This window comes from Homo sapiens, chromosome 2, assembly GCF_000001405.40.
Source record: "Homo sapiens chromosome 2, GRCh38.p14 Primary Assembly".
NCBI lineage: Eukaryota > Metazoa > Chordata > Mammalia > Primates > Hominidae > Homo > Homo sapiens.
In genome coordinates, this window is record NC_000002.12 from 122,422,086 (window position 1) to 122,434,085 (window position 12,000).

The window sequence follows — 12,000 nt, forward strand, 5'->3', positions numbered from 1 at the left end:
GGAAGTAAATTGCCTGATCACCAAAGCTTGAATGGTTATAGCTAGTATAAGTGAGGGCCTTTGGCCAGTCCAATGATAAAATGGACAATTCTATAGGCCTTCAATGATTCTGTAATTTCTTATAATGTTGAGGGTGAAGGCTAACAGTTTTGAGAAACCACAGTAATAACTGTGAGAATCTTGGAATTTATTCATAAATTCATCACAAAAACTTTTGAACATCTTCTATGTACCAAGCACTGTAAAGAATGAATAAAACTCATTTTTATTTGTATCCTTTCTAGTTTTAATCATCTTTTATTTGATTTCCACCATGTTAGATATGTCCCACTTTTTTGAAAATTTATAGGTCTTCAAAAAGTACCATGAAATTATATCTCCCTCCAAGGCTTGCATTTTTGTCTTTTGCTTGACTGTTTGGAATTCATAGCAATTGCTGCTGCATTCGAGCAACATATTTCCTATTGTTTTAAGCAGAGTGATTTATAGCAGTGCTTGGAAGGTTTGCTTTTTTGACACACTTAACACTGATGAATTAGGTAAAATATTTTTCAATCATAAGCTTCTGCCCAAGCTTCCTTTTGAATTGGAGCCCAAGTTTTCTCTGGTGAGACAAGAGAGGAAGGAAGAAGTGAATAAAAGATGAGGTGAATGCAGAGCATGGTTCTCGGATTGCATAAAACTTCTACCCACGTAGTGACTGTGGCGGCTCCACCCTGTCTTACTTTGGCACACATCTGGTCCACATTTTTGTGAGTTCATCACTGGTTCTCCCTGAACGTTAGAAGCAAGTTACATTTTGTTTACTTTCCAGGGAAGGAAGAAAACTATAGCTCTTGCCCTTAAAGCCTGGACTTGTACTCCTCCTTACCCGCCTTGGTGTTGCTAGGAATAGACCACGGTTGAAGCAAGTATAGGTATTTTTGTCAACTTTGTAAGAGAGTGTGCATGCTTCCTTGGACCTCTCTTGACCAGGCAATCATGTTCTCTGAGTTCATGTATCAGAAGTCACTTATATAGGAGATTCAGGTGGATCTTTTGATAGGATCCTCAAAGCCCCTATGATATCACAAAACCTTCCTCTTTTCTTGTTTTCTACTACTTATTCCAAGAGGTAGGGCTTCATGAATGTCTCATTTCTGAGAGACTGACTTCTTCAATGCATAGAGAAGATGTGTGGTTTGGCCCTTGCCTTACACTGCCCCGGGTACCTTATGTGCACATAGGTTCTTGTGGCAATTTCAGGACAATTTCCATAAAGCAATGCATTGTAAACTTTCAACTTCATCAGGATCACCTGACGTCCCTATTAGGTACTGCAGATTTGAGGTCGTCACTATCAGAGACTATGATTCCATAAATCTGAAGTAGGACTCATAAAATTGTGATAGTAATAAGCGCCCCTGGTAATTACTGTATAGATGGTCTTAAGTTCACCCTTTAAGGAAGAGTGGGCTGTGATAACAAATAGTGGCTTGTGAATTGGCAAACCTGGTTGAAGTTCTAGCCTCACAACTTTGTAAGACTGTGACTTTCGACAAGTTAATCTTCCTAACAAGAATCACTTTCTTATTAGATAGACCAAGGTTTGTATCCTAGCTCATATGCCTCCTACTGATTTCTAATATGTTACTTAAATTTCTCTAAGTTCATAGTAACACATAGTATGGGTACAAAGAACAAATTTCCGGGGAAACTTACAAGTAAAGGGTCAACAAGAAATGGCACTTGCTTACCCAGATCTATTGGCTTTCTGCAGAGATGCATGCAGTTGAGGCTTGCTGGAGCCACTATGACTTATTCCAGGGAAGGGACCCTGCCCTCTGTTGCTCTCTCTTTAACTGGGTGAGCATGAGAATGACCTTAACAGTGGAGACACAAAGCTGGCAGTGATTCATGATGCCCTGTGACTTCACCTGGTGTTGTATGTAACTATAATGTAATAGCAGATTAGATGCCAGCTGTTTAGGGCCGTGATAAGAAATGCTACCTGCTCAGTACTTGGAGACCTAGGGAGCACTTGGAGGAAAATACAACCTGTCTTCGGGTGAGGGCAGCACTTCCCTTTTCATCTAGCACATTGCCGGACAATTCAGAGACAGCTCCCAGGAAACTTTGCAGATACACTCCATGCTGTCTCATAGAGCTTCTGTGAGCATTAAATAGGATAATATACGAAATAATTTAATTCTGTTTAATTCTGTTCTGATCCACAGTAGGTGCCCAATGTTGGTATTTCTGTCACTGTTCATACTTCATACCTATTCTATATCCTATAGGGCCAGTGACCCATAAAAACTGCACGTTTTACACTCCTCTGTCCCAAATTGGCTAATTGGCTATATTATAATTGTTTTGATGATGTTTCTGTTGTTATTAATCTCATTAATCTAAGTTGAAACATTATTGTGTTTTCTTTCTGTTTTTTTCCTGAGGGAAGTTCAGTCTAAGTGAGAAAATTTTCCTTCTCCTCTGAAGCTGAGGTTGAAGCTCATTATAATTCTAAATTTGCCATAGAGTTTTCCACATTCAAATTGTCAGAAGATTTATATGAGTAGCTGAATTGCTAAACTGCCTTTCCAGGGAAAGAAAGGGCTGAATTTCCTAAATCTTGATTATTTAAAATATTATTATCTGAAGATTTTTCTCTGAAATTGTTTTAATATATTAAATCTATTCATTCACATTTGCAAACATTTATACATGAGGCTATGTGAGCTTACATGGAATTATATATAACAGTATATGTAATTCATAATACCATAAATTCAAATTTTAATAATATTATAAAGTGCATAAGTATACTATACATGTGAAAGCACTATATAAATATGCTGTAATCGCATGGGATGATATAATGTGAGTTCTGTGTTAGAAGTTGCTTTGTTTGTCTTCAGTTTCTGAGAATCTTTTTATTGTTTAGGAGGCCATAGTTGAAGATACTCAAATCATTCTGAAGGCTTTCATCTTGTCTCTCAGAGGCACTCATTCAACATTTTAGGGAACAACCAAGGCCTCTGTTCATTGAAGCCCATTGACTGTCTTCCCAGAAAACACTTCATCATGCTCAGTGAGTGAAGGGGAAAGGGATAAAGTGAGATTTTCCAGTGCTGGAGAAGAACATGACATAGACCAACCACTTCATCTTCCACCGTCTTAGGGAAGCATGTTACTATATACAATCTTTGCAAATAGAGAGAGGGAACAGAATTCTAAAGCACCTAACTCCCCTTCCAAATAAAACTGTCTAATCACATGCTACCTCCCCTATTTATTCTTTCACTAATTATTTTCCTAAAACGAAGGTCTAACCTGGTTGCATTCCTCATCAAAACCCTTCCTGTATTAGTCTGTTTCACTTTGCTGATAAAGACATACCTGAGACTAGGCAATTAACAAAAGAAAGAGGTTTATTGGACTTATGGTTCCACATGACTGGCAAGGCTTCACAATCATGGCGGAAGGTGAAAGGAAAGGAGCAGCACGTCATGTCTTACATGGATGTTGGCTGGCAAAGAGAGAGTCTGTGCAGGGAAACTCCTGTTTTAAAAACCATCAGATCTCATGAGACTCATTCACTATCATGAGAACAGCATAGGAAAGACCCACCCCCATAATTCAATTACCTCCCACTGGGTTCCTCCCATGACATGTGGGAATTGTGGGAGTTACAATTCAAGATGAGATTTGGATGAGATTTGGGTGGAGACACAGCCAAACCATACCACTTCCCTTCATTCCATTTCTGTTTTTTTTTTTTTTCCTGAGTTGGGGTCTCTCTCTGTCTTACAGGCTGCAGTGTATTAATGTGATCTTGGCTCACTGCAAACTCTACCTCCCTGGTTCAAATGATTCTCCTGCCTCAGCCTCCCAAGTAGTTGGGACTACAGGCACCCATCACCATGCCCAGCTAATTTTTGCATTTTTAGTAGAGACAGGGCTTCACCATGTTGGCCAGGCTGGTATCAAACTCCTGACCTCAAGTGATTTGCCAGCCTTGGCCTCCCAAAGGACTAGGATTACAGGTGTAAACCACCTTCCCTGGCTACGTTTCTTACATAATATAAATTTAAATTCTGTAGCATGAAATTCATTTCCTTCATTATCTGATTTCACAGAGCTCTCCAACCCCAATTGCCACTGTTATGGGTCTGAATTTTGGTGACTCCCAAAATTCCTATGTTGGAATGTAATTCCCAAGGTGTTGGTATTGATGTGGGGGCTTTGTGAGGTAGTTAGGCCCTGAGAACTGTACCCTCATGCATAGGATTAGATGCTATTATAAAAGGGCTTGAGGACATGGGGCCTGAGGACCTTTTTTACACCTTCTTGCCTGTGAGGACACAGCAAGAGGAGCCATCTTAGAGGCAGAGAATAAACTTTCACTAGAGACCAAATTTGCTGGTGCCTTGATCTTGGACATCTTAGATTTCACAGCCTCCAGAATTGTGAGCAATACATTTCTGATTGTTTTGCTTTGTTTTGAGACTGGGTCTCACTCTGTTGCCCAGGCTGGAGTGCAGTGGTGCAATCAAAGCTAATTGCATTTTGAACTCCTGGAATCAAATGATCCTGCTGCTTCAGCCTCCTAAATAGCTGGGACTACAGGTTTGTGCTACCATGCTGGCTATTTAAAAATTTTTGTTGTTGTTGTTGTTGTAGAGACAATGTCTTGCTTTGTTGTCCAGGCTGGTCTCAAACTCCTGGCTTCAAATGATCCTTCCACCTTGGCCTCCCAGAATGCTAAGATTACAGGTGTGAGCTACCTCACCTTGCTGTAAATGCCTATTTTTTATAAATCACCCATTCTATGGTATTTTGCTATAACAGCAGGAGCAGAGAAGACATGCACAATACTCTTCATATTCCTTTTATTCTAGTGAAATGGAACAGCCCACTTGCTCCAAACGCATCACACACTTTTGCACTTAGTGTCTGTGGGTAGTGTTCTTTCAACTTAACGATTAACGTGATTCTTCTTCCTACTTTCCTTTTAGGGTTGTTTAATGTCTACTTTTTCTGAAATTTCTCCAGCTCTCCTATAGATACCAATCTCTCTGTTTCCTGTTCTCCCCTAGACATTGCTGGCACCACTACCATGGAACTGACATGCTGAAGCAGGCTATTTGCATGTCATTTGCCTGGGGAGGGGCTGTGCATTTCTCTTTCCATAACTCTATACCCTGCTGAGTCCAGATATAAACTTGCACAAGGCTCAAAGAGAGAAGGAGTGATTACATTCAATGGTTTAAATGCTTTAAGAATCTTCAGCTCTTTGGAACTTCTGGTGCATCTGGTACTATGCTAGGAACTGTATAAAAGAGAGAGAGAAAGAAAAAGAGAGAGACAACAAGGGAAGAGGAGATACTTAATAAACCAATCAAGTATATTGCATGGATTGTATTCCTTAGGGAACTTGAGAATGATTCTTTGCTTGGACATTTAAGTGAAAATTAGGAAAAGCTTGAAAGAATATGTATGTGGTCTTACTGGTTTGCATGCTTATTAGACTGCTGTATGGGTTTGGTTCATCTTGAAAATGTAATGATTGAGCATTCATTGATATTCAGCAGGCATCAATATGTAGTGGGAAGAACTTGAGTTCTAGAGTCAGACGGTATTGGGTTACAATTTTGGCTTCACCTTTCAATTGCTGTGTGGCTTCAGAAATGTCCTCTAACTTGTCTGCACCACGATTTCTTAATCTTTAAAATAAGGATAGTGATAACTACCCCCAAATGAAAACCATGCGTGCCAAGTGCCTGGCACATGAACACTGCCATTTGTTTTATTATTAGCAGTTACAACAATATGACATTAATACAAATTTTATTGAGTTCCCACAATGTCTTTAGCTTTTGCAGTGTGTTTTTCCTAAAGAGGCTCTAAAGAGTCAGCTTTCTGTCTTTCTCACTCTCTATGTATCTATATCTAGCTCTCTATCTATAGATATCTATAGATATAGCTATCCCAATGCCTGCCATATATGGAAACTCAATAAAAGTTTGCTAAATATCCAGAGAACCACCATCATTTGTGATTTGGACATTTTTATTATCCCTAAAGAATCAGTGAGCATGAAACGTTGAAAAATTTAGTAGCCACCGGCCACCCTCAACCCCCAGCAACTCCACCTTCCACACTGCCCCCCAGTAGGGCTTCAAATGTCTATATATGTGAATCAATGCACAATTATTATACCCAAGATATAATCTATCTACCAAAAATTTTCACATCACTTAAGGTGCTGATTGACATTTATGAGGATATTAATATACACTTGAATAAATTGCTCATAAACTGCTACTACGAGACTAAAAATGCACACGAAGTCAGAAAGGTTTAAGACTTGGCAGCGACTAAACTACACTAACTGAAAACTGGAAGGGAGATTATCCTTTTGTCATTTGACATTTTGAAATTCATTGACCTTTATCTTACTTGCAACAGTATTATGGTTTTATTTCATATGCTTTCTAGCTCCATTCCCAGCTGGTTTTTTCTTCCTCTTGGTTTCTGGAGGATGAGACCCGCCTGCCTGTAGTCTCACTGTTGCTCCTGGATATTTATGTTGTTTTGAGCTGCACAAACATTTGTTTAGAGACCTGGGTGGGGCATCAGCGGGACTGGCACAGAGGTGTCATCATGCTTGCGTATTTCTGTAAGAGTGAATCAACTGAGACAAGTAAAGAAAATGTAATTAACAAAATGTGGGGAAACAGGAGTCTATGTAAGTAGTAAAAAGGAGGAAGGTCTGAAAGGGGTAGAGAAGAGAGAGAATTGTCCCAGAGTGATGCCAGGAAGGGGATTGTGGTGCTGGAGAGGAACCGCTTAGCAAGCACTATCTGTAGGAAACAGTGCCAAGGCCATGTCCAAAAAATGTGAACACAGCCCCTGCCTGCAAGGAGCAGATGCTCTATTTACGACCACAGAGCATGCCTATTACATCGGTAGCTATTTACAGACCTCTGGCTCCTCAGCTTATGAGTGTGGTGTCTTGTTGCCTTTTTTTAAATTTTATTTTTTAACTTTCAGAACACTTGGTTCAGATAAAAATTTATTTTTAATTCCAACAAAAAGGAGCCACCCTGGCTGAATTCAGGCAGGGGTGCTGATGGCATTTTACTTGCTAGGTTTCAGACCTTCACAACCCTGTGGCCCTAGGAGATTTCCCCAGGACATCTTGAGGTTTCTGGGCTCAGAGGGCCACTGCCGTCTTATAGGGCAGGGTGTGGGTACCTTTGCAGGTGCTTCTGTCCCTGGACCCATGAGCCTCTTCTCATCCCACTCTGTGTCTAGAATGACCTTTTCTGCCTCTTCTGCCTGGCCAATTATTGTCTTCTTATCTTACCATATCTTCCAAGATTCCACTCAAACCATCCATTCTCCTTTGAACTCACCTTGTTTCCACCCCGTCTTGAAAGTTAGCCCACGTCTGCTGCGCTTTTCCTCATCCTATTGCAGCCCTACATCCTTGCATTGCCCATACAGGCTGAGCTGCTTCCTTCCCTTCCAAACCTTGCTTCTCTAGATTGGAGGTCTTTTTCCAGTCTCTCTTCCCACCTATGAGATAAGTAGTGATGTCCTTTTCAGACACAAGAAAGTGGAGGGAGAGTGATCTGACGGCCCATATTCCACAGAAGAAAGTACCTCAAATTAGGAAACATACTCCAGCTCCTGTCTTTTGCTGCCTGTGTCACAGCTTGGCCAGAAAGTCCAGCTCACTGTGCAAAACAGCACACAGGAGTCAAGTGGCAGGTCCTGTCTCCTAGAGAACACCAGTGACCTAACTGCTTCCCCTGGCTCTTCATTTCACAGGTTCCTGGTGTGTGGAAGGTGACTGAGACCCTCCATGAATGAGGGCACTTACTGAATTTTGTGGACAGAACTTTTTCTGTAAGTAGTACCCAAAGGAGATTAGACTTGGGGGCAAGGTAGCTGAAAACCTCACTTTGGCTTCAGTTCCAAACCTCATTTTCCAATTCAACTCTATCAGATACATTGGTTATTACAGATCCTCTGTCAACCCTTTAATACAACTTATACTGAAATAGAGGCTATTGGCCTCTTTTGACTGTTTTCAATTCATAAGCAGCTTCAGATGAGTGACTAGCACCTGCAACCTCCAACATCAATAACCTACTATGTGCACTCACCATAGCAACGGTAACATTTTGCACACTTGTATCTTGACCCCGTATTCCACAGGTGATATGATACACTTACGAATTCAAGTTATAAGGCAAAAGCATGATCCCTTGAGATGCCCAGTGATGTATAGTATATAGATATTCAATAAATTTTTTTGACTCATTCACTGATTGATAATCTGAAATAAGAGGAGATTGCTGCTTACAGTTTCCTGTGGTTTCAATGTATTTGTGGGTGTGTGTGTTTCCATTGTCTGAGGGAAACCATGAATGCATCATGCACTTTTAAAAATTGTCTCTATTAATTTTCCAAGCACAGCTGGGCCTTGCTTATCTTCCTAGCTGGGGAACTGTGTTAGAATGTGTAGCTCAGGGTTCTCTTGAGTTGGGTTTCACAGGGAATATGGTGTGGAGGTTCAGAGCACAAGCACAGTGCTCTCCAGGCTTAAATCCAGCTCCTCCCTTTAATAGTCATGTGATGCTGTACCAGTTACTCATCTCATTAAAATTAGCTTCGGTAATGCTGACAACATACTTAGAATAATGCCTAGCATTCAATAAATATTAGCCAATATTATCATGAACATTGATGTTATTTTAATCTAAATTTCTAACAAGGTATACTTTTCTAATTTTTTCATGTGTAATATTTGAATTACCTCAATGCCACTCTTAATATAATATTGCACTACAAATGTAAGCAATAATAATAAAAAAATTCTATACATTAGGCAATTATATGAATCCCTAATAAATGCTTTCCTCCCTTTCATCAATGTGCTTTCTTTAAATGCATGGTCAAAAAAATTACAGGTAATCTGCTTTTATTTATTCAGAGCCATGGAAATGAGTTTCATTTGGGGCTGAGAGTATTACTACTGTAGTGGATGTCAGAGAGAGAGGGCATTATATTGCAGCTAATGGCCTTCACTAATAGTAAAAGATGAATGCCCCATGTACCTGAAGGAAGGCCTCCTACAGTAAAACAGGAGCTGTTCATCAGCTGAAACTTTCAGGTATCATTTAATTTGAGAAGTGAGAGAAATTAAATTATTCTAGGAAGGGCAATGAGAATCCCATTGAAGGTAATGGAATGAAATACTGATTCCATTCAGGTCTGCATGCAGACTGAATTATGTCATGTTCCTGAAGGCAAGGCATAGGCAAGGAGAACAGGGCTGTCTGTGTTTATTTACTCTTGTAACTCTAAGGCATTACTTCTTCTTGCCATCATTGGAGGATGCGAATAGCAAGGGGATAGTATTTAAAATAAATGTTTTAGAGGTTACCCAGTGAAAAGGAATTATGGCCAAGTCCTGTAGAAAAAAGACCTGCAGATGACAGTCTGAAGATGTGAGGACTGGTGGTGATTCTGGATAAGAAGCATAATATTTCCGGGCCTCCAATTTCTCACAAGAAATTTCTGCTTAAATAATGGTTACTTAAGGGCATGTCAGTTTAAATATTTTATAGTCTTCATATGTGTAATTCTAAGATTCTGTTATCATTAGAAAAAGAGTCAATTCGAGGTTAGGAAGAAAAAAATTGAGTAGAAGTGAATGAAAAAGAGCAGACATAGTTGCTTTATAACCTAGCTGTGGGAAAGAGAAAGAACATTGCAGTTGCAGTTACATCCTTTAACACTATTGTCAATGAGGATCTGTAAATCCTTAATCTTCTTACTTATGGATGTAGCATAATAATATCTATTTCTTGGAGTGTTTGTGACTATGGATACTAAACAAGATTGTACATGAAAAGCACTGAGACCCTCACACAATAAACGTGGTCATTAGTTACTACGATTATGCGAGTTAAGGAGGAGGAGTAGGGCATCATATCCTACAGTGTGCTGACACAGGGTGTCCTGGGTGGACCTAAGCCTCTGGTTTGAGGGGAGAGTCTTGGGGAGAAATACTATCAAGTGCGTATGGAGCATATCCTCTTAGCTGCTCTAAATGAAGCATGTTATTAGAGGTTGCCCTGACCTTTCCTATCCTGAGTCTTCGAGTGACTCCGTCTCAGAGTGACACTGAAAGGTTAGTGTCAACAATGCAGTTCTATGGCTCTATCATTAAAATTTTGTCCCCATATTTACTTTTGTGTACATTATATTGTTTTGGAAAAGTATAAACATTTCAAGAATTGTTTCATTAAAGAATATTCCTTTTTTTTTTTTTTTTACCTGAAGCAAAATATAAGGAGGCAACTAGGAGACTCACTAAGAATTTCCAGCATTTCAACAAGGAAAAATGATATTAGCCTTCTAGGATCTTGGCAAATTAAGTAGATAAGCTTGTCTTCAACACCTTCAGTCTCTCAGCTCTTCATCATGTTCTCATCTAGTGGTCACTTTCTCAAACATTCTCCTTTAGAAAGCAGGATTTCCCATGTAGAACAAAGAAAAAACAGGGTCTGTAAGGATATATAGTGAGGATATTGGAGGGAAGGACAAAGTGGGTGGAAATTTGATTCTTCTTTGTGAGGTTTACTCTTCGTCCTTCTCTTCCACAGTCTGTGTTTGCAGGTAGATGTTTTTAATGGGTTTCCTGCTTTAGGACTTTTTGAACAGCCATGGAAGGGGCCAGGGAGAGGGAAGGAATCTCTAGTCCTGAGCATTGCCGAGTCCTTCATCCATCCTCAGTCCCACCTTTGGATTCCTTGTGGTACAATGATTTCTCCAGAGACAGGCACTTTCCTTGAGCAGGTAAGAGTGGACAGTCTCGTGTGTGTGTGTGTGTGTGTGTGTGTCTGTGTGTGTGTGTGTGTGTGTGTGTGTGTGTTTGGCAGTCAGGCAGCAATCTGGGGGAAGCAGGAGACAAATCTTTCTCTTGCAATTTTTCTTTAAGTGGAATTTCCCACCTGCCTCAGTGAATAATTTACACAACATAAAAGTGATCATGAAACCATAGTTCAATGCTTACAGAAGGAAGCAAGGCTGACTTACAGAAGTTACTGTTTCACTAGGGCAGAGAAAATTGTCTCAGGTGCCTTGAACATTTCAGCTCCCTACACAGCTTGCAGATGCTCTCCCCAAGGTACAGTGGCCTGGCCTTCCATCAGCACAGTCAGTGAGTAAATATGTCCTTTAGTCATTTATTAACCGCTATTACATAATTGAACGACTCTAACCTGTCTTTGCATAGCTCATAGCTCACAAGCTTTTGAGGAATACGAAGTGTTTATTCAATAAACATTTGTTAAACTCTGAGAGATAATTGTGCATGACATCCTTAGATCAGAGTTTCCCCGAGTGTTCTATGGAGCACTGTCCAGCCCAATACCTTTATCAACGTAAACGATGGGAGAGTTAGGGGTACAGTGCTATAATTTCCGTTGCACAATAGACTATTAAATTCTCGCTGGAGGTAGGTCAAGGGGAAAAGAGACTTTATGATTCTTTAAGTAAGGATTTCAAAAATCACAGAGATTCCCAGAACACATTTGTTTTCCTCATTGCCTCAGATAATCAAATGTTTGTTGGGAAATTCTGAACTAAGAAATTTGTTCTACTGATAAAGTTGCTGAAAGAATTTTTAGACTCAAGCAACTATTGCATTCTGAATTCATTCTTCATGGAACAGGGCTTAGCAAAGCTGGTATTGGCATTATCAAAAGGCAGAGAGGGTTTGTTGAACTGAGCACTTCTGTATTCTGAGCAAGTGTCTTGGGGAGCTAGAAAAGTCCTGACATGCTTTGGCAATGATCGCTACAAAACGTTTCACTCAATACTGTCTACATTAATTTCTGAAAGAAATTGCAAAACATTTTGATAGTTTTTCTAAAGGTCTGAGTTTTAAGATTTTGTGTATTTTCACTTAAATCTAAAACTAGAAATTACCAATTAAAA

General features: G+C 39.8%; 1 long non-coding RNA gene across 1 annotated transcript in view; it reads left to right on the plus strand.

Annotated features, from left to right (window-relative positions):
- Positions 1-10,853, plus strand: part of LOC105373592 (uncharacterized) — a 530,486-nt gene extending 519,633 nt beyond the window's left edge. The window contains exons 6-7 of the long non-coding RNA XR_001739684.2: positions 7,819-7,896; positions 10,665-10,853. This is a non-coding gene — a long non-coding RNA (uncharacterized LOC105373592). The remainder of the gene's footprint in view (positions 1-7,818; positions 7,897-10,664) is intronic.
- The last annotated feature ends 1,147 nt before the right edge of the window (positions 10,854-12,000 follow it).